This window comes from Homo sapiens, chromosome 22 (assembly GCF_000001405.40).
Source record: "Homo sapiens chromosome 22, GRCh38.p14 Primary Assembly".
Classification (NCBI taxonomy): domain Eukaryota; kingdom Metazoa; phylum Chordata; class Mammalia; order Primates; family Hominidae; genus Homo; species Homo sapiens.
The window spans coordinates 37,932,421-37,953,844 of NC_000022.11; the positions used below are offsets into that span (position 1 = coordinate 37,932,421).

Consider the following 21,424-nt stretch of genomic DNA (forward strand, 5'->3'; position numbering starts at 1 on the left):
TTCTTACCATGCTGGGGTGGGGGACAGGGCCCGGGCCCTGGAGCCACCAGTGGCCAATGCTGGCCAGAGAAGAGGGCAAGGCTCCTGGCAGCAACCAGGCAGGCCGTCAGGTGACCAGGCACTGTTGGGCAGGTCCAGGCTGACCAGTACATCCCTGAGGAGGACATCCATGGAGAGATGGATACCATTGAGCGCCGGCTGGATGCCCTGGAGCACCGTGGGGTGCTGCTGGAGGAGAAGCTGCGTGGCGGCCTGAATGGTGCGGGAGCGGCTGGGAGGGCCTGCTGGGTGGGGCTGGGGGCAGGAGCCTCTATTCCCCGGGGAACTGAGCCAGGCATGGCAGCCAGCCCTGGCCTCAGTGGGTATCTGGCTTCCAGAGGGCCGTGAGGATGACATGCTGGTGGACTGGTTCAAGCTCATCCACGAGAAGCACCTACTGGTGCGGCGAGAGTCCGAGCTCATCTATGTGTGAGTCCCCCCGCCTGGGGCATCCCTCCCTGGAATCCGTAGAGCTTAGAATGGAGAACCCTTACCCTCTTCCCTCATCAGTAACAGCGCAGGGCAGGGCAGCCGGGGCTCGGGCAGAATTGTTAAGAGTCACCTTATTCCCACCCCTAGCTTCAAGCAGCAGAACCTGGAGCAGCGCCAGGCTGATGTCGAGTATGAGCTCCGGTGCCTCCTCAATAAGCCAGGTGAGTGCAGCCACTGGCACTCCCCTGGCACCTGCCCTGGGGCCTGGTGACACGGAGGAGTGGGGGAGCGGGCAGACAAAACCCCAGTAGGATGCACAGGCAGACTGGGGACAGGGCCAGAGGAGGAGGTGCGGGGCAGGGCTGTCTGGGTCACCCCCAAGGATGGGAGAGACTGTAACAGGCAGTAAGCTGGCTGGGGCTGTGGTAGGAGAAGGAACCGCACAGACAGTGTAGGGTGTGGACGTCCGAGGGACCAGGGATGACAGGCTCTCAGTGAATGAAGATCAGGCCCAGGACCAGCCCAGCCTGTTTTGTGCGTGGGTCAGACTGTTCCTTCTTCTGCCACTAACTTGCTGTGTGACCTTGGGCAGGATTCTTAGCCTCACTGAGCCTCAGTGGCTTCAGGTGTAAGATGGGAATGAAGGTCCCCACGTCCTCGGGTGTTCTTGGGACCAGGAGACAGTGGACGTGGACTCTGTACCCTCTGAAGGGCTGATGGCTGATGGTTACCATGTGGCCGAGTTGGGGTTTGGTGAGGAGGGCTCCTCACACGCCCTGTGACCGTGGAATGCAGTGAACCGCAGCTGCAGGCAGAGACCCCAGGACTATGGAGATTCCAGAGTTGGGAGCCAAAGCTTTTGACCACTTTCTTATGGCTCAGGCATGGTGCCAGCCCTGGGCAAGGGCCATCTTGACAGATGGGAAGTGGAGGGCCAGAGAGGTCAAGGGACTTGGCTGTTGGTGACGGGGCTGGGCTTCCATCCATGTCTCTGATCTGGGGCTGTCCCTGCACACACAGCCCCTCCAGACTGTGGGGATGGTGGCAGGGGAACTGTCTACTGACTGGGGAATTTGGGAGGCTGGAGTGTCCCAGGGGAAGCCACAGAATGTCCCAGGCTTCCACTGCCTTGTGTGAGTCACTCCCAACTCTGCAGGAGGCTGGGGCGTGGCCACCACTCAGAGCCACAGCGGCGCCCTGTGGCCAGAGCGGGCACGGCTCCTCTGCCTCCCTGGCTAGCCCGGCCCCAGGGCTTACTGTGGCTTTTCCAGCCCCCGTGTGGTGGCTGTGCGTCCCGGGCTTGTCAGCCTGTCCCGGATGTTGCTTTTGGAAGGTGAAGCTGGTGTATGAGGCTCCGAGTACAGTACACCATGAGGGCCATTGCTTGGGGGCATCAGGCTGCCAGGTTCAAATACCAGCTCCACCTTCACTGTGTGACACTGGTCAAAGATTTCATGTCCCTGAGTCTCAGTTTCCCCACGTGTAGACTGGGGACATAACTTACCCAGGCCCCAGATATGGAAAATGGCAAAGTGGGATTCAAACTTGGGTGGTGATTTGGAGGCCCTGCTCTGTCCCCAGAACCAGGTTGGGCCACCTGCTCCTCAATTTTGGCAAGGTGAGGCCATAGGGGAAAGGGGCAGTGGCTGAGGGGGCTTCAGGATATTTATTTATTTATTTTGGGGGGGGGTATTTATTTATTTATTATTATTATTTTTTTTTTGAGACAGAGTCTCACTCTGTCGCCCAGGCTGGAGTGCAGTGGCGCGATCTCGGCTCACTGCAAGCTCTGCCTCCCGGGTTCACGCCATTTTCCTGCCTGAGCCTCCCAAGTAACTGGGACTACAGGCGCCTGCCACCACGCCCGGCTAATTTTTTGTGTTTTTAGTAGAGACCAGGTTTCACCATGTTAGCCAGGATGGTCTCGATCTCCTGACCTTGTGATCCACCCACCTTAGCCTCCCAAAGTGCTGGGATTACAGGCATGAGCCACTGCGCCTGGCTCTATTTATTTATTTATTTTATTTTATTTATTTATTTATTTTTATTTTATTTTTTGAGATGGAGTCTCACTCTGTTGCCCAGGCTGGAGGGCAGTGGCACAATCTCGGCTCACTGCAAGCTCCGCCTCCCCAGGTTGACACCATTCTCCTGCCTCAGCCTCCCTAGTAGCTGGGACTACAGGCACCTGCCACCCCGCCCGGCTAATTGTTTGTATTTTTAGTAGAGACGGGGTTTCACCATGTTAGCCAGGATGGTCTCGATCTCCTGACCTCGTGATCCACCCGCCTCCGCCTCCCAAAGTGCTAGGATTACAGGCGTGAGCCACCGCGCCAAGCCCTGGCCCTATTTGTTATTATTATTATTTTATTTTATTTTATTTTTTTGAGTCAGAGTCTCGCTCTGTCGCCTAGGCTGGAGTGCAGTGGCACGATCTTGGCTTACTGCACGCTCCGCCTCCTGGGTTTACGCCATTCTCCTGCCTCAGCCTCCCGTGTAGCTGGGACTACAGGCGCCCGCCACCACACCCGGCTAATTTTTGTATTTTTAGTAGAGACAAGGTTTCATCGTGTTAGCCAGGATGGTCTTGATCTCCTGACCTCGTGATCCGCCCACCTCGGCCTCCCAAAGTGCTGGGATTACAGGCGTGAGCCACCGCACCCGGCCTATTATTTTTTTGAGATGGAGTGTCACTGTGACATCCAGGCTGAAGTGCAATGGCGTGAACTCAGCTCACTGCAACCTCCGCCTCCCAGGTTCAAGCGATTTTCCTGCCTCAGCCTCCCCAGTAGCTGGGATTACAGGCGCCCACCACCACGCTTGGCTAAGGATATTTACTTTTTTTTTTTTTTTTTTGAGACAGAGTCTCACTCTGTTGCCCAGGCTGGAGTGCAGTGGCGTGATCTGAGCTCACTGCAACCTCCACCTCCCAGGTTCAAGCAATTCTCCTGCCTCAGCCTCCCTAGTAGCTGGGATTTCAGGTGTGTGCCACCACACCCCGCTAATTTTTGTATTTTTAGTAGAGACGAGGTTTCACCATTTGGCCAGGCTGGTCTCGAACTCCTGACCTCTGGTGATCCACCTGCCTCGGCCTCCCAAAGTGCTGGGATTACAGGAGTGAGCCACCGGGCCCGGCCTAGGATATTTATTTGAAGCCAGGGAAGCCTGTGGCGGTAGATGTTGTGGAGGGAAGGCCAAGTGTGGGCACTCATCCCTGGAGCCTGCAGGCTGGGGGAGGGGGAAATACTAGGGCCCCAGTGGGCCCCTGGGGGTGGTCCTGTGGGTTGGCTGGGGCCTTGAGAGGAAAGGAGGCAGGAGGGGCAGCAGGTGTGCCCAGCTTCAGGGGAGCCTCCTGCTGGGCTCCCTGCCCCCAGCATCCCCTCTAGTCTACCTTCCTCCACAGCCTTGGATAAATGTCCCAGTATGTCACTTGGGTTGTGTTGCTTCTCCTGCTGGAGGAGCCCTGGGGTTCCCTGTTGTCTCCTCGCCCCTGCCCCACTCTGTCCCTCCTGAATCTTGCCTCCCGCCAGAAGCCACCTAGTGAACATTTGTTGAATGGATGAATGAACATGAGCATGAGACCCTTGGTGCTGCCCTGTTCTTGCAGTAGGTGCTGTGCTGGCCCTGCTGGGGCCCCTTGCAGGGCTCTTTGGTAGGCAGCCTGGTGTCCTTGGTCTCTTCTGTCACAACTTTCTTTTCCCTAAGAACTTGTAGGCCCTGGCCGGGCGCGGTGGCTCACGCCTGTAATCCCAGCACTTTGGGAGGCTGAGACGGGTGGATCACGAGGTCAGGAGATCGAGACCATCCTGGCCAACATGGTGAAACCCTGTCTCTACTAAAAATATAAAAAATTAGCTGAGCGTGGTGGCAGGTGCCTGTAGTCCCAGCTACTCGGGAGGCTGAGGCAGGAGAATGGCGTGAACCCGGGAGGCGGAGCCTGCAGTGAGCCAAGATCACGCCACTGCACTCCAGCCTGGGCGACAGAGTGAGACTCCGTCTCAAAAAAAAAAACAAAAAAAAAAGAACTTGTAAGCCCCACCTATCGGGGCCCTTCCTTTCTGCGCTTAGTTTCTTGCATGGTATTTAGCATGGGGCTGGCCTGCCGCACTTAGGCAGTGGCTCCTGGTGGCCTGGGGAGGAAGAGGGCTTTCCTACCACTCATGCCCCCTAACTTTTCTCCCTGGGCAGAAAAGGACTGGACGGAGGAGGACCGGGCCCGGGAGAAGGTGCTGATGCAGGAGCTTGTGACCCTCATTGAGCAGCGCAACGCTATCATCAACTGCCTGGATGAGGACCGGCAGAGGTGACATGGCCAGGGGTGGGGGGTCCTGGGGGCAGGGCCAGAGCAGGTCAGGCTCTGGGCCTCATGGGTGGGGCAGCTCCCTGGAGAGCCAAAGACACAGTCCACGCCTCAGGCCAGGCCAGCCCTGCCCTCCTACCAGCGATCCCAGTGCACCGTTGCTCAGCCCTGTGTGGACAGAGAGGGCATCTGCTCCTTCCTCCCGTAGGACTCTCAGCTGCCGCTGCTTTTTTTTTTTTTTTTTTTTTTGAGACAGCGTTTCACTCTTGTTGCCCAGGCTGGAGTGCAATGGCATAACCTCGGCTCACTACAACCTCTGTCTCCCAGGTTCAAGCGATTCTCCTACCTCTGCCTCCCGAGTAGCTGGGATTACAGGCATGAGCCACCACACCCAGCTACTTTTTGTATTTTTAGTAGAGATGGGGTTTCACCATGTTGGCTAGGCTGATCTCGAACTCCTGACTTCAGGTGATCCACCCACCTTGGCCTCCCAAAGTGCTGGGATTACAGGTGTGAGCCACCACGCCCAGCTTAACTGCTGCTGCTTATTTCAGGGAGGAAGAGGAAGACAAGATGTTGGAAGCCATGATCAAGAAGAAAGGTGAGGCCCTTGCTGGGGATGAGGCTGGTGAGCACTTGAACTTCGGCATTGGGGTTGGAAGGGAGGGACTGGTTGAAGGGAGGGTTGGAGTGGGCACTACCAGGATGGCTGTGCACAAACTCCGCAGCCTCTGTTGTGCAGAGAGGGCTGTGTGTAGCAAGAGAGGCCAGCATACAGCCAGGAAGGCTGTGGCTTAGGCTTGGAGGGTAGCCGTGGGATGCCCTGATGCCTACAGAGACGACTGTGGTATATGGGAGGCATCTTCCCAGGGTGGATTTGCCCTCAGCTGTGCATTCCCCCTTGAGATCTGCAGCTGGTTTTGTTGGAGTCCGTGGGCCCAAATAGCAGTGCTTCCTGGGGACCAAGTGGTGCTTGAAACAGTTAAAAGAGTACTGGACAGGAGATCAAGACCATCAGGGCTAACACGGTGAAACCCCGTCTCTACTAAAAATACAAGAAATTAGTCAGGCGTGGTGGCGAGAGCTTGTAGTCCCAGCTACTCGGGAGGCTGGGGCAGGAGAATGGTGTGAACCCGGGAGGTGGAGCTTGCAGTGAGCCGAGATCACGCCAGTGCACTCCAGCCTGGGTGACAGAGCGAGACTCAGTCTCAAAAAAAAAAAAAAAAAAAGTACTGGACTGTAAGTCAAAGGATTTTTTTTCTTTTCTTTTTTTTTTTTTTGAGACAGAGTCCCACTCTGTTGTTTAGGCTGGAGTGCAGTGGTGTGATTTTGGCTTACTGCAATCTCTGCCTCCTAGGTTCAAGCAATTCTCCTGTCTCAGCCTCCTGAGTTGCTGGGACTACAGGCGCATGCCATCACACCCAGCTAATTTTTTTTTTTTTTTTTTTGAGACAGAGTCTTGCTTTTGTCACCCAGGCTGGAGTGCAGTGGTACGATCTCAGCTCACTCAACCTCCGCCTCCCAAGTTCAAGCAATTCTGCTTCAGCTTCCTCAGTAGCTGGGATTAGCTGCCACCACACCCGGCTAATTTTTGTACTTTTAGTAGAGATGGGGTTTCGCCATGTTGGCCAGGCTAGTCTTGAACTCCTGACCTCAAGTGATCCGCTCGCCTCGGCCTCCCAAAGTGCTGGGATTATAGGTGTGAGCCACTGCGCCCGGCCCTGGCTAATTTTTTTGTATTTTTAGTAGAAACGGGGTTTCATCATGTTGACCAGGCTGGTCTCGAACTCCTGGCCTCAAGCGATCTGCCCACCTCGGCCTCCCAAAATGCTGGGATTACAGGCGTGAGCCAGTGTTCCTGGCCAGGATTTGGGTTTTGGTCTTGGTTTTACCAGTACCTCACTTTGTGGCCTTGTGGTTAGGTCTTGACTCAGGCCAAGTCAGACTACTTGAGTTCTAGTCCCAGCTCTGGCACTTATGAGCTGGGTGACTTTGAGCTGGCCACTCTACCACTCTGGTCTCATTCTTCATATCTGCAGAATGCGGGTGAAAATGGCACCCCCTCACAGGTGTGTGCTGGGATTACTGAGATAATGTGTAAAACTTAGCTGAGGGCCCTGGCCCTACAAAGGGCTCAGTTGGTATTAGTCAATTTCAAAGGCCTACATTTTCCTTGTCTATAAAATTAGGGGCTCAGACAGATGATTTTGAAGGTTTCTCTTGCTCTGACAGCGTTTGTGTTGTAAGTAACAGAGCTGTGGGCACCAGCCTGGGTGAATCCAGCCTTTTAAAGATAAATGGGGGCCAGGCGCGGTGGCTCACGCCTGTAATGCCAGCACTTTGGGAGGCCGAGGCCGGCAGATCACGAGGTCAGGTGTTCGAGACCAGCCTGGCCAGCATGGTGAAACCCTGTCTCTACTAAAAATACAAAAATTAGCCGCGCATGGCAGCGCTTGCGTGTAATCCCAGCTACTCGGGAGGCTGAGGCAGAAGAATCGCCTGAACCCAGGTGGCAGAGGTTGCAGTGAGCCGAGATCGTGCCACTGCATTCCAGCCTGGGCGACAGCACAAGTCTCCGTCTCAAAAAAAAAAAAAAAAAAAAAAAAGATAAGTGGGGCCAGGCACGGTGGCTCACGCCTGTAATCCCAGCACTTTAGGAGGCTGAGGCGGGCTCATCGCCTGAGGTCAGAAGTTTGAGATCAGCCTGGCCCAACATGGTGTAACCCCGTCTCTACTAAAAATACAAAAATTAGCTGGGTGTGGTGGCACACTTCTGTAATCTCAGCTACTTGGGAGGCTAAGGCAGGAGAATTTCTTGAACCAGGAGGCAGAGTTTGCAGTGAGCTGAGACCGCACCATTGCACTCCAGCCTGGGCGACAGAGACTCTGTCTCAAAAAAAAGAAAAAGAAAAAGATAAATGGATGCCATGCTTCAGAATTCCTGGATTCTAGGCCGAGTGTGGTGGCTCATGCCTGTAATCCTAGCAGTTTGGGAGGCTGAGGCGGGGGGGATCACGAGGTCAGGAGATCGAGAGCATTCTGGCTAACAGTGAAACCCCATCTCTACTAAAAATACAAAAATTAGCCGGGGCGTGGTGGCACCTGCCTGTAGTCCCAGCTACTCGGGAGGCTGAGGCAGGAGAATCGCCTGAACCCGGGAGGCGGAGGTTGCAGTGGGCCAAGATCGCGTCATTGCACTCCAGCCTGGGCGACAAAGCGACTCAGTCTCAAAAAAAAAAAGAATTCCCGGATTCAGCAGAGCTCTTACATGTGCTGACCATCTTGATCTTTCCCCAAACACTGGAGGTGGGGAGGGGGAGGATGGGCCCCATCCTCTAGGTGAAGAGACAGAGGCTGGGAAAGGTGAGTGTCTTGTCCCTCCCAGGCTCCACACAGGAAGTGGTGGGGCTGGGCTGAGCCCTGCTGCCCATGCCCAGGCCTGTGTCACTGGGTCTAGCCTGCCCTGGATGTACCCCTCTTCTCCACTTTATTAAGTGCTCCCCTCTCTGTGCTGCAGAGTTCCAGAGGGAGGCTGAACCTGAGGGCAAGAAGAAGGGGAAGTTCAAGACCATGAAGATGTTGAAACTGCTAGGAAACAAACGTGATGCCAAGAGCAAGTCCCCCAGAGACAAGAGCTAACAGCACGAGAAGCCAGTTGGGGACTGCCCCCTCCTGGAGCAGCTCCTGGGCTGTGCTCTGTTTGAAGGGGGCGCCCTGCTCCCCTCAGATCAGTCAGGAGGAAGATGACTAAGGGGAGGGATCCTCTGGGTGATGGCCTCTTCCTCCTCAGGGACCTCTGACTGCTCTGGGCCAAAGAATCTCTTGTTTCTTCTCCGAGCCCCAGGCAGCGGTGATTCAGCCCTGCCCAACCTGATTCTGATGACTGCGGATGCTGTGACGGACCCAAGGGGCAAATAGGGTCCCAGGGTCCAGGGAGGGGCGCCTGCTGAGCACTTCCGCCCCTCACCCTGCCCAGCCCCTGCCATGAGCTCTGGGCTGGGTCTCCGCCTCCAGGGTTCTGCTCTTCCAGGCAGGCCAGCAAGTGGCGCTGGGCCACACTGGCTTCTTCCTGCCCCATCCCTGGCTCTGAGTCTCTGTCTTCCTGTCCTGTGCAGGCGCCCTTGGATCTCAGTTTCCCTCACTCAGGAACTCTGTTTCTGAAGTCTTCAGTTAAGTTTGAGTTTATGACTGAGTGGCCTGTACTGTCAGACGTGAATGGGCCTGACGGGCAAATCCATCCCTCTCTCCCTCACAGTTCCAGGAGCGGCTTCCCTCGTCTCCCCTTACTCCACAGGGAGCCTCCCTTGCCAGGACCAGGGCTGCGACGGCCATGCTGGGGCAGGTGAGTGCTCTGTTAGCTGCTCCCAGTGCTGTCCCCAGGCTGCAGTTCTGGTCCCTGGTTGTCAGGTAGGAAGGGTGCACTTGAAGCAGGTGCTCATCTCGGTTCCTTAACGTTTATAGTCTGACCCCTCACTTAGGCTTTCCTCTGCCACCCCGGTCCAGGGAAGAGGCTCGCTCCCGCCCATGGTCATCACTGGTCTGTCTGCTCTGTTGTCTGTTCTTTCCCTGACTCCCTCCCACCGAAGGCCTGATGGCTACTCACCCCTCTGGGATGGCTATGGGAGAGGAGGAGTGATGGGGACCGCCACCTTTTCTGCAGGAAATGTGCCCAGCAGCTCTTGGTCAAAGCACTGTTGCTATAAGCTATCTCTGGGATGCCTCTAGGCCCCCTTCCCTCTACACACCTCTGGGAAAAGATTACACTGTATTAACTCTCGAGGAGTTTCCTCACCAATAAACAGACAACCTCAACTGCCAGTGCCCTGCAGCCTCGGGCCACAGCGGCAGCCTTGTTTGCCTTCCCACCTGCCTCTGCCACACCTGGTGGCTGAACATCTCTGGTCGCCCAGAGGCCATGTTGGGGCCATCCTCCAAGAGGGATCTCTGCCCTCACCGCCTGCCACTGGGCAGGATCCCTTTCCTCTGCAGGGAGAGGTGGCTCCTCGGCCATGCAGCCCCTGGCAGGCTCCTTCTAAACATGCCTGTTGACCTGGAGCTGGCGCCACCAACTCCAGGGCCTTTCCAGGGCCAGACAGGTAACACGCATGAACCCGAGTGACAGCTCTGACGGGCTGTTTCGGTGTCAGGAGACAAAGCTGGCAGGGGCAGGGGTGAACTGGAGGCAAGTCAAGTCACCTGTGGCCTGTGGGGCTGAATGTGGGCCCGGTGTTGCCAGATCCTTTGTCATAAGAAGCTAGAAATCCAGATTTTATGTGTGTGTAATTTGTAAATGCTGAAAGCTAGCCTGAATTTTTTTTTTTTTTTTTTGAGACAGAGTCTCGCTCTGTCGCCCAGGCTGGAGTGCAGTGGCGCGATCTCAGCTCACTGCAAGCTCCGCCTCCTGGGTTCACGCCATCCTCCTGCCTCGGCCTCCTGAGCAGCTGGGACTACAGGCGCATGCTACGACGCCTGGCTAATTTTTTGTATTTTTAGTAGAGACGGGGTTTCACCGTGTTAACCAGGATGGTCTCGATCTCCTGACCTTGTGATCCACCCACCTTGGCCTCCCAAAGTGCTGGGATTACAGGCGTGAGCCACCACGCCCGGCCACTAGCCTGAATTTCAATCAAGGGTTGGCTGATACTGTGTGTCCAGGGTGGACTGGATTTGTCCTGGGGGGTTCTCTGGTTTGCTGCCTCCTGACCACATGATGGGGCCTTCGAGGTCGAGGACAACTGTTCCCATTAGATTGCACCCTCTGCCCTCAGGTTCTTGAGGGTGTGTGGACACAGAGGCTTTCCATGGGATGTCCCTGAGCCGGCCCTTGATTGGGGCCTCACCATTTACAGGGCCGTTTTATTCTGCAAACCGAAACTTGGGTCATGTGACCTGATGGGATTATGGGACTCCCTCCAGGTGCCCGAGACAAGGTTGATATTTCCAAAATATTTTGGTGATTTAGTGGGACAAGCAAATGACAGAATACCGGAGAAGGCAGGGATCGTGGGTGTCAGGAGCCAGAGGGGAGGGGGACAGATGTGCTGTGTACAGGACAAGGTGTCAGGTGACTCCTTCCCAGCAGGGCCTCGCAGATGCACAAGCACGGAGCTGGTGGGTTTTGCCCAAGAAAGGTCACGCGGCACATGCAGGGATTGGAACTCCCAGGCCAGGGCTCTAGGTCGCTCCCACCTTTTCATGTTTCTTTCTGTGGCCATGGGTATAGTGGAAAGACATAAAGCTAAAGCCAACTTTTAATCCTGAATGCACTGCTTGCCAGGTAAATGCCCTTGGTTGTGGTATCTTGTTGAGACTTAGTTTTCACAGAGGGATAATGAACCGTTGCAGAGGTTTATTGAGATCATTAACAGAGTGGAATTCAGCACCCGCCACAGCAGCCAGCCATGGGGTGCCCAAGAGGTTGGTTCCCGTTGCCACTTGAAATATGCAAACAGGTAGCTAGAAACCATCTGGGCTTGACAAAGTCTAATGCCTTGAACAAATAAGCTTATCCCTCTGAAAACAAAATGGTGCTTGTAATGACCCACGTTAAATATGTTTTATTGGCCAGTTAATCATTGTGGTTGAATACTTGCCTAAGGCGGTAAGAAATCAAATAAGTAAATCCTAAAACAGGAAGAAAGGAATCATATTCATTCCTGAATTCAGAAAACTAAATGAACAGGCCACAGGTCAGAAGTGGTGGGAAGCAGGCCCAGTGGATACCTTTAGACACATGTCCTAGTAGGGATGCTCGGGCTTTGCTTCTCTGCGGACGGGGCTGTGAGTCTCAGAGGCTCCATCTGCATTCCGGGGCAGGGGCTAGGCTGCTGAGTATGCCTTGGGGTACTGCAGGGCAGTGCTATGCCACCACCTGACGTGGCAGAAGGCTGGTAGGATGGGCTGGCCTGAGGATGGCCCTGCCTGGCAGAGGAGTGGACTCCAGTGGTCGAGCTTGGGCTACCCTGCCCGTCTCTGGAGACAGATTAAGTGGTGGCAAGACCCTTCCTAAGTTCCTCACTCCTTCTGTGGTCAATGTCTTCCATTTCCCGGAGTTTCTGCAAAGGGCATCAGGGAAAGCAGGTGTATCAGGGCTAGGAACCTGAGGAGCTGTCACAGCAGTGAGCTAGAGCCTGACCCCTGAACCCTGCCACAGCAGACCCTGTATTTCCATTCGCACTTGGCGCTGGGCCCTTCCCCTCCCCACTTTCCTGGTTGTTTCTCCTACCTGGGAGATTTCAGCAAGGATGATTCCTCGGTACTGTTTGCCCTGTCCCAGGGCCTCCATGTCAGCCAGGAATTCTTTCCTCTCCTGGATTTCCTTCACCACTGGACAGAGGAGAGGGCTGTCAGGTTCCCATGAGGGATGCAGGCAGCGGGTTGCCTCTCTTGAGGAGAGGAAGTGGTTCTATTGTCAAATAGTGTTTCTAGGCCGGGCGCGGTGGCTCACGCCTATAATCCCAGCACTTTGGGAGGCCAAGGCAGGTGGATCACGAGGTCAGGAGTTCGAGACCAGCCTGACCAACATGGTGAAACCCCGTGTCTACTAAAAATACAAAAATTAGCCAGGCATGGTGGCGGGCGCTGGTAATCCCAGCTACTCAGGTGGCTGAGGCAGGAGGGATTGCTTGAACCTGGGAAGTGGAGGCTGCAGTGAGCCCAGATCACGCCACTGCACTCTAGCCTGGGCAATAAGAGCAAGACTGTCTCAAAATAAATAAATAAATAAATAAATAGTGTTTCTCACTTGTTGGCCCTTGGCCCTCAGGGATCCCCTGACTGCTCCATCCAATTCTGGGCCCCCTCCTCACATTACCCCCACCCCCAGCATGACTGGTCCGTCGGAGTCTTACGCTCTTCAAATCGGTCTAGCTCAGGGGCTGGAGCCTTCTGTCGTGCAGGAGGGGCCTTTCTTTTCCGTTCCTCCATGTCCTTCCCTGTGGCAAAGATATTTTGGAGTCTTTGTTTCTCCTTCTCCAAATCCCCTGTAGGGCCAAAAAGAAATGGCCTAGTTAGGCTGTAAAGGGTGCCCTTATTCATGGTCTGTGTTCCCAAGTGCACGTGCTTGCTGCAGGGTGCCTGGTCATGCAGACAGGGCTTCCGTACACCTGCTGCTACCCTGGGTTCTCCTGAGCAATACTGTACTGTCAAGAGAGGCAGGAAGAGGTGGAAAGAACCAAGAAAAGAGTTTGGGTATGGTCTGTAATTCCAACACTTTGGGAGGCTGAGGTGGGAGGATTGCTTAGGACCAGGAGTTCAAGACCAGCCTAATGGATGTAGTGAGACCCCCATCTCTTTTTTTCTTCTTTTTTTTTTTTTTTTTTGAGACAAGGTCTGACTCTGTCGCCCAGACTGGAGTGCAGTGATACAATTTCGGCTCACTGCAACCTCTCGGGCTCAAGTCATCCTCCCACCTCAGCCTCCCGAGTAGCTGGGACTACAGGTGGACGTCATCGTGCCCAGCTAATTTTTGTATTTTTTTTTTTTTAGTAGAGATGGAGTTTTGCCATGTTGCCCAGGCTGGTCTCAAACACATGAGCTCAAACGATCTGCCAGCCTCGGCCTCCCAAAGTGCTGGAATTACAGGCATGAGCCATCACGCCTGACCGATATCCTATCTCTAAAAAAAAAAAAAAAAAAAAAGTCCAGGCACGGTGGCTCACACCTGTAATCCTAGCACTTTGGGAGGCTGAGGCAGGCAAATCATGAGGTCAGGAGTTCGAGACCAGCCCAGCCAACATGGTGAAACCCCATCTCTACTAAAAATACAAAAAATTAGCTGGGCATGGGCCGGGCGCGGTAGCTCATGCCTGTAATCCCAGCACTTTGGGAGGCCGAGGTGGGCGGATCACGAGGTCAGGAGATCAAGACCATCCTGGCTAACACGGTGAGACCCCACCTCTACTAAAAATACAAAAAAATTAGCCCGGCGTGATGGCAGGTGCCTGTAGTCCCAGCTACTCGGGAGGCTGAGGCAGGAGAATGGCGTGAACCTGGGAGGTGGAGCTTGCAGTGAGCCGAGATGGTGCCACTGCACTCCAGCCTGGGCGACAGAGCAAGACTCAGTCTCAAAAAAAAAAAAAATTAGCTGGGCAGGGCATGGTGATGGTGCCTGTAATCCTAGCTACTTGGGAGGCTGAGGCATGAGAATTGCCTGAACCCAGGAGGTGGAGGTTGCAGTGAGCCGAGATCGTGCCACTGTACTCCAGCCTGGGTGACAGCGCGAGACTCCGTCTCAAAAAAAGCTGGGTGTGGGGAACACCTGTGGTCCCAGCTATTCTGGAGACTGAGGCAGGAGGATTGCTTGAGCTCAGGAGTTCTGGCTGCAGTGAGCTATGATCATGCCACTGTATTACAGAATGGGTGACAGAATGAGAGCGACACTGTCTCAAAAAAAAAAAAAAAAAAAGGCCGGGAGCGGTCGTTTGTGCCTGTAATCCCAACACTTTGGGAGGCCAGGGTGGGCGGATCACTTGAGGCCAGGAGTTCAAGACCAGCCTGGCCAACATGGTGAATCCCCATCTCTACTAAAAAAATTAACTGGACATGGTGGTGGACACTTGTAATCCCAGCTACTCAGGAGGCTGACACATGAGAATTGCTTGAACCCGGGAGGCGGAGGTTACAGTGAGCCGAGATAGCACCACTGCACTCCAACCTGGGCACAGAGTAAGGCTCTGTCTTTAAAAAAAAAAAAAAAAAAAAAGTTTTGTCAAAACTTAGCAGAGCAAGGCTAAGAAAGCTCAGGAACCTGGGGCCTCGGCGATGCCTGTAGTGGCAACTTATGTATAGGGGCTGCAGGGAGAGGTTAGGCTGTGGCATTGAGCCCTGATAGCCCCTATCATCAGGAAGTGGTAGATTTCAGTTAATCCTGAGTTCTGGAAAAATAAAAAAAAAAGGACCATCTGACTGGTTTCCTCTGCGCCCTGAATACCCCTAAGCCAACATGTGCTGAGGCTCAAGAGCATTGGTACAAAGTGCATGGGGATTTGATTAGCTACCTTCCCACCTGCCCTGTGGGCTGCTTGCGTCCCTCTCCCTTGTCCTCCCCCAGGGAGATGGAGAAAGGCCCTAGCTGAGACCCTCACTTACTGGTGGCTTGAGGCTTGAACTGCTCCCGGCTGTAGGCCCCATTGGCTTGACACATGTTGGCAGGCCGGAGGTGGGGACGGGCTGCGAGGATGGGAGGCAGGTAGATGGGCGAGGCTATTTGCTTGGAAGGTAAGACTCTCTGGCTGGATGTTGGGCTGCACTGTAGGGGCAAAGCATCTCCTCCTGGGGAACGAAGAGTTGGGGTGGGAGGACCCACATGGCTTTTTTTTTTTTTTTTTTTTTTTTTTGAGTCTGAGTCTTGCTCTGTCACTCAGGCTGGAGTGCAGCGGCGCGATCTCGGCTTACTGCAACCTCTGCCTCTTAGGTTCAAGCGATTCTCCTGCCTCAGTCTCCCAAGTAACTGGGATTACAGGCATGCGCCACCATGCTTGGCTAATTTTTGTATTTTTAGTAGAGACAGGCCATGTTGGCCAGGCTGGTCTTGGACTCCTGACCTCAAGTGATCCACCCACCTCGGCCTCCCAAAGTGCTAGGATTATAGGCATGAGCTATTGCACCTGGCCACTTTTTAAAAATAAAAGTTGGCCGGGCATGGTGGCTCATGCCTGTAATCCCAGCACTTTGGGAGGCCGAGATGGGTAATCACTTGAGGTCAGGAATTCGAGACCACCCTGGCTAACACGGTGTAACCCTGTCTGTACTAAAAATACAAAAAATTAGCTGGGCGTGGTGGCGGGTGCCTATAGTCCCTACTGCTCGGGAGGCTGAGGCCGGAGAATGGCATGAACCTGGGAGGTGGGACTTGCAGTGAGCTGAGATTGCACCACTGCACTCCAGCCTGGGCGACAGAGCGAGACTTCGTCTCAAAAAAAAATTAATAGAATAAAAATAAAGGTAATACCTACCTGTTAAAAGAAGTCAAAAGGCCAGGTGCAGTGGCTCACGCCTGTAATCCCAACACTTTGGGAGGCTGAGGTGGGCAGATCACTGGAGGTCAGGAGTTTGAGACCAGCCTGGCCAACATGGTGAAACCCCATGTCTAAAGAAAAACAAAAAAAATTAGCCAGGCATTATGACGGGTGCCTGTAATCCTAGCTACTTGGGAGGCTGAGGCGGGAGAATCACTTGAACCCAGGAGGTGGAGGTTGCAGTAAGCCAAGATTGCACCACTGCATTCCAGCCTGGGTGACTGAGCAAGACTGTCTCAAAAAAACCCCCAAAAAACAAAAATTAGCTGGGCGTGGTGATGCAGGCCTGTAATCCTAGCTACTGGGAAGGCTGAGGCAGGAGAATCTCTTGAACCCAGGAGGTGGAGGTTGCAGTGAGCTGAGATTGAGCCACTGCACTCCAGCCTGGGCAACAGAGTGAGACTCTGTCTCAAAAAACAAAACAAAATGAAACAAAACAAAACAAGTCAAACAGTACAAGGAGTCTTCTCTTCTTCCTTCCAGTCCCACCCCTCTATAATGAATGAGTGATAATGGTAACAGTTTGGTGGTCTCCTTCCTTTTTGATGCTTATACAAACATGTTCAAAGATATATGTGCATATAAGATTCTTTCAAACACTGGATCGTACTGTAATATATTAAAATAACAGACTCTTTTCACTTAACATTTTTTCATGGACATCTGTCCAGATCAATCCATTTATATATAACTTATTTTTTATAGCTATATACTAGTATCCTTAGAATGGATACATTATTTATTCAGCTCACCTCCTTGTTTCAGAAATTTAGGTTATTTCTAGGTTTGTTTTTTACTACTTCAAACAATGCTGCAATAAACATTCTTGTACATCAAATCTTTGTACCGATGCTTTAATTTCTATGGATGGGTTCCTAAAACTTTCTGTGTGGTGCATGGACAAGCAGGGACAGTTTGGATGACAGCAGGTACCTATCCCTCCTGCTGTCCATCCCCCCGCTTGGCCATCCCTGGGGCTTCTCCCCCAGGCGATCCAAGTGTGTCACCTGTCTGGTCAGTTGACCCCACCTCTCAACTGCCATAAAGCCCAGCTTAGAGCAGGTCCCATCCATTGTTTTTTTTTTTTTTTTTGAGACAGAGTCTCCCTCTGTTGCCCAGGCTGGAGTGCAGTGGCATGATCTTGGCTCTCTGCAACCTACACCTCCTGGGTACAAGCGATTCTTGTGCCTCAGTCTCCTGAGTAGCTGGGATTATGGTGTGTGCCACCACGCCTGGCTAATTTTTTTTTTTTTTTTTTTTTTTTTTGAGACAGAGTTTTGTTCTTGTCACCCAGGCTAGAGTGCAATGGTGTGATCTCAGCTCACTGCAACCTCCGCCTCCTGGGTTCAAGCTATTCTCCCGCTTCAGCTTCCCAAGTAGCTGGGACTACAGGCCCGGGTCACCACACCTGGCTAATTTTTGTATTTTTAGTAGGGGTGGAGTTTCACCATGTTGGCCAGGGTGGTCTTGAACTCCTGACTTTGGGTGATCTGCCTGTCTCGGCCTCTGAATGTGCTGGGATTACAGGCGTGAGCCACCGCACCTGGCTCATCCACTGTTTTGATCTGGGTGCCTGTCTACCTTTTCTGCCCATCCAGCCTCTACAAGGTCAATTCCCCAGGAGCGAGCGGTCAGAAGTATTAATTTTTTTGGTCACACACCCAAAAATTTTGCTGTAGAGAGAGGTTTCACTGTGTTGCCCAGGCTGGCCTTGAACTCCTGGGCTCATGTGATTCTCCTGCCTCAGCTTCCTGAGTAGCTGGGACTACAGGTACACCCCAGTATGTATGTGTTTTGCCAGGCTGGTCTTGAACTCTTGGGCTCAAGCAATCCTCCTGCCTTAGCCTCCCAAAGTGATAGGATTATAGGTATAAGCCACCACAGCTGACCTGTTTTTTTTTATTTTTTATTTTTTGTTTTTGAGACGATGTCTTGCTCTGTCACCCACACTGGAGTGCAGTGGTATGGTCTCGGCTCGCTGCACCCTCTGCCTGCTGGGTTCAAGTGATTTTCCTGCCTCAGCCTCCTGAGTAGCTGGTATTACAGGCATCCGCCATCATGCCCAGCTAATTTTTGTATTGGCATAGAGACAGGGTTTTACCATGTTGGCCAGGCTGGTCTTGAACTCTTGACCTCAGGTGATCTGCCCGCCTCAGCCTCCCAAAGTGCTGGGATTACAGGTGTGAGCTCCCACACCCGGCCTGACCTGTTTTTATTTTAATTTAATTTTATTTTATTTTAATTATTTTGAGATTAGGCTCCACTCGGTCGCCCAGGCTGGAGTGCAGTGGTGCAATCACAGCTCATTGCAGCCTTGACCTCCCAGGGTCAAGTGATCCTCCCACCTCAACCTCCTGAGTAGCTGGGACTACAGGTTGGCACCACCACACCTGGCTAATTTTAAAAAATTTTGGGGGCTGGGTGCAGTGGCTCATGCCTGGAATCCCAGCACTTTGGGAGGCCGAGGCGGGCAGATCACGAGGTCAGGAGTTCGAGACCAGCCTGGCCAACATGGTGAAACCCAGTCTCTACTAAAAATACAAAAATTAAGCCGGGCATGGTGGCGCACGCCTGTAATCCTAGCTAGTCAGGATGCTGAGGCAGGAGAATTGCCTGAACCCAGGAGGCGGAGGTTGTAGTGAGCCGAGATCATGCCACTGCACTCCAGCCTGGGCGACAGAGAGAGAGACTCATCTCAAAACAAAACAAAACAAAAAAGTTGGCCAGGCGTGGTGGCTCACTCCTGTAGTCCCAGCACTTTGGGAGGCCGAGGTGGGCGGATCATGAGGTCAGGAGATCGAGACCATCCTGGCTAACACGATGAAACGCCGTCTCTACTAAAAATACAAAAAATTAGCCAGGCGTGGTGGTGGGCACCTATAGTCTCAGCTACTTGGGAGGCTGAGGCAGGAGAATGGCATGAACCCGGGAGGCAGAAGTTGCAGTGAGCCGAGATTGCGCCACTGCACTCCAGCCTGGGCGACAGAGTGAGACTCTGTCTCAAAAAAAAAAAAGGTTTTGTGGAGATGAGGTCTTGTGGCTTGTGGCGTTGCCCGGGCTGGTCTTGAACTCCTGGGCTTAAGCCATCCTCCCACCTCAGCCTCCCAGTGTTGGAATTACAGGCATGAGCCACGTGCCCGGCTGTCTTTGTTTTTTTTATATGAGGTCCTCTCTCCCTTAACATGGAGAAGCATTAAAAGTGTGGCCCCAGATCCCTCTGTCCAGGAAGCCTCTGTGGACTGCCCCTTACTTTTCATGATGTCCATGATGTGGCGCTGCTGGATGTTCGTCAGTTTGGATTCCTTCATCATCACTGCACGACAAAGCATTCTATGAGGCCTCTTGGGCTGCAGGCGGATGCCTTCACCTGACACCCTACTGAAATTTAAAACCCTACATCCTAGCCCCATTCTGCACTGAGCATGCCTTCTCTATCTTTCCTGCTTCGTTTTTTCTATAGCACTTACGACCACCTAAAATTCTATATATTTTATTTTATTGTTATCCTTCTATATTAGCTGTATGATAAGAATTTTTGCTGGTTTAATAAAATTTCTGCCCTCTGTTAAATATTTTTTCCTCTTTCTCTTTTTTTTTTTTTTTTTTTTTTTTTTTTTTTTTTTGAGATGGAGCTTCCATCTTGTTGCCCAGGCTGGAGTGCAGTGGCGCGACCTCAGCTCACTGCAATCTCCACCTCCTGGGTTCAAGGAATTCTCCTGCCTCAGCCTCCCAAGTAGCTGGGATTACAGACATGCGCCACCACGCCCGGCTAATTTTGTACTTTTAGTAGAGACTGGGTTTCTCCATGTTGGTCAGGCTGGTCGTGAACTCCTAACCTCAGGTGATCTGCCCACCTTGGCCTCCCAAAGTGCTGGGATTACCGGTTTGAGCCACCTCATTTTCTTTCACTGCTGTATCCCCAGCACCTAAAACAGAGTCTAAGGCACATGGTAGACTTAAAAATGTTGTTGTTGGAAAAAAACAAAAAAGTTGTTGAGTAAAAGAACACATGAATACTTGTTCATCATGTTTCAGGGGCTGGAGCTACAATTGTGGGCCGAAACAGGCACGGTTCCTGCCTGATGAAATTCATGATCTGGAGGGATAGATGGGACACCAAATAACTGACTACAGCTTGTGCTAAGCCCAGTGAAGGAAAATGTGTGAGGGCACATAACAGTTGATCCTACTGTGGTGGTGAGGAGCAGAAGTCTTCCTCGGGAAAGTTGAAAGTGTGATCTAAAGGATGCATAGGAGTTAACTACTCTAAAAATTTTAGTTCTTTGACTTTTGGCAAGGTGTAGCACCTTGAACCTTCCCCTCCCCCCCGCCCCGCCCCGCCCCCGAATAAGGCATATGCAGTAGAATTTTGAAGCTTTCTGAACCCCAGGCTCCTTATCTGTAAAGGAAAATAGTGCTAAGCCACAGGTCAGGTACGGGGGAACTGAGTTACAGAGGGTAACTACCACCATTCTTCTCTCATCCTTTAACTCAGGGGTCCCCAACCCTCCGTCCGTGGACTGGTACCAGTCCCTGGCCTGTTAGGAACCGGGCCGCACAGCAGGAGGTGAGCGGCAGGCTAGCGAGCCTCACCGCCTCCTTTCAGGTCAGTGACGGCCTTAGATTCTCATAGGAGCGCGAACCCTATTGTGAACTGCGCACGCGAGGGATCTAGGTTGCACGCTCCTTATGAGAATCTAACTAATACCTGATGATCTGAGGTGGAACAGTTTCATCCCGAAACCATTCCCCACACCTCCGTCAGTGGAAAAATTGTCTTCCACGAAACCGGTCCCTGGTGCCAAAAAGGCTGGGATCGCTGCTTTAACGGACTGACCTCTGAGCAGCTCGCAGGTCCCCGGGGTGTAAGTGATGGTCTTGGGGCGGCGCCGGAACCCAGTTCCTTTGGTCACTACCTCCATCTGCTTCTGTGAAGCCATGGGAGGACTCTGAGGAGGGAAAGACGCAATGACACACCCCCTGTCTCCTGTCCCTAATCTCTGTTCCCCGACGCCCAACACCCCCAGAAGTCTGGAAGCGGGGATCGAGCCAGAGAATGATGCCGCCAGTTAATATTGCGACAGTGCCCAAACCTCCCATCCAGACACACAGATACACACACACAGTCCTCATTCTGACCCAGCGCCTGTGGCAGGGAAGTCTCCTCGGGAGGGAGTGTTAACACAGCCATGGTCACAACAGTACCCACTGAGTGATATGCCAAAATTGAAATTTCACCCTAAGACCCTCTCTGGGTGCTCCCCTCTCCACATAGAAGTGGGCTCCCGGAGGCGGTGACCACTGCTTTACAGCCGCATCCGCACCGGTGCCACGCAGAAATACTGCGCGATCTGGGCTGCTGGAGCTGGCAGCTAGCGCCTCTCGCTACTATAGAAACGCGCACACACCAGTCAGCGCATGCGCACTTTCCCCGCTCTGTCCTGCCTCCCGGAAGTGATTTCCTCTGGGTTACGGCGCAGGCGCAAGATAAGCTAGGAGCCGCGCGAGTCGTAGTGTCGCTGTTTGCGGGTCTCCGCGCGGGACCGGGGCGCAGCGGGGTCGCTGAGGCGAGGGTGTCATGTCAGACAACGAGGACAAGTGAGTGCGGGAGCGGAGTGGCCTTTGCGGCAACCTT

At 53.2% G+C, this 21,424-nt stretch overlaps 3 protein-coding genes across 24 annotated transcripts in view, besides 2 other annotated features; 2 read left to right on the forward strand and 1 right to left on the reverse strand.

The window, feature by feature from the left end:
* The window catches only part of MICALL1 (MICAL like 1), a 36,526-nt gene extending 26,124 nt beyond the window's left edge, over positions 1 to 10,402 (forward strand). For 6 of the 11 annotated variants that reach the window (XM_011530471.3, XM_011530472.3, NM_001410819.1 and 3 more), the window contains 6 exons: positions 133 to 259; positions 378 to 468; positions 619 to 692; positions 4,660 to 4,774; positions 5,326 to 5,399; positions 8,289 to 10,402. In XM_011530471.3, coding sequence (XP_011528773.1) covers positions 133 to 259; positions 378 to 468; positions 619 to 692; positions 4,660 to 4,774; positions 5,326 to 5,399; positions 8,289 to 8,410 — 603 coding nt within the window. In that variant the 3' untranslated portion in view covers positions 8,411 to 10,402. The remainder of the gene's footprint in view (positions 1 to 132; positions 260 to 377; positions 469 to 618; positions 693 to 4,659; positions 4,775 to 5,325; positions 5,400 to 8,288) is intronic. The other 5 variants (NM_001410818.1, XM_047441552.1, NM_033386.4 and 2 more) reach the window with 1 other exon arrangement.
* Positions 612 to 1,414: an enhancer, noted in NCBI's record as "H3K27ac-H3K4me1 hESC enhancer chr22:38329039-38329841 (GRCh37/hg19 assembly coordinates)". NCBI's record gives its function as "activates a minimal SCP1, AML or CMV promoter by ChIP-STARR-seq in primed H9 embryonic stem cells {active_cell/tissue: H9 hESC(primed)}" and the evidence as "EXISTENCE:reporter gene assay evidence [ECO:0000049][PMID:30033119]".
* Positions 1,415 to 2,216: an enhancer, noted in NCBI's record as "H3K27ac-H3K4me1 hESC enhancer chr22:38329842-38330643 (GRCh37/hg19 assembly coordinates)". NCBI's record gives its function as "activates a minimal SCP1, AML or CMV promoter by ChIP-STARR-seq in primed H9 embryonic stem cells {active_cell/tissue: H9 hESC(primed)}" and the evidence as "EXISTENCE:reporter gene assay evidence [ECO:0000049][PMID:30033119]".
* Positions 10,403 to 10,629: 227 nt separating the features above from the next.
* Positions 10,630 to 21,249, reverse strand: C22orf23 (chromosome 22 open reading frame 23). Of its 7 annotated transcripts, none has more exons than XM_047441550.1 (7): positions 21,198 to 21,249; positions 20,627 to 20,738; positions 19,040 to 19,102; positions 14,861 to 15,043; positions 12,622 to 12,753; positions 11,997 to 12,097; positions 10,630 to 11,826 (listed from the first exon to the last, which is right to left on the reverse strand). In XM_047441550.1, exons 2-7 carry the CDS (start codon positions 20,727 to 20,729, stop codon positions 11,755 to 11,757), a joined length of 654 nt encoding a protein of 217 aa, XP_047297506.1. In that variant the 5' UTR covers positions 20,730 to 20,738; positions 21,198 to 21,249; the 3' UTR covers positions 10,630 to 11,754. The 7 variants fall into 7 exon arrangements, with proteins under 7 accessions (XP_047297506.1, NP_115950.3, NP_001193991.1 ...); NM_032561.5 differs by lacking the exon at positions 21,198 to 21,249 and adding an exon at positions 21,028 to 21,181; NM_001207062.1 differs by lacking the exon at positions 19,040 to 19,102.
* The window catches only part of POLR2F (RNA polymerase II, I and III subunit F), an 88,253-nt gene continuing 88,071 nt past the window's right edge, over positions 21,243 to 21,424 (forward strand). For 5 of the 6 annotated variants that reach the window (NR_125371.2, NM_001301130.2, NM_001301131.2 and 2 more), the window contains exon 1: positions 21,279 to 21,387. Coding sequence is in view for 4 of the 6 variants with exons in the window: in NM_001301130.2 (NP_001288059.1) it covers positions 21,368 to 21,387 (20 nt within the window). In the remaining 2 variants the exon portion in view is untranslated. Of the gene's footprint in view, positions 21,388 to 21,424 lie in introns of all 6 variants that reach the window. The other variant, NM_001363825.1, reaches the window with a different exon arrangement.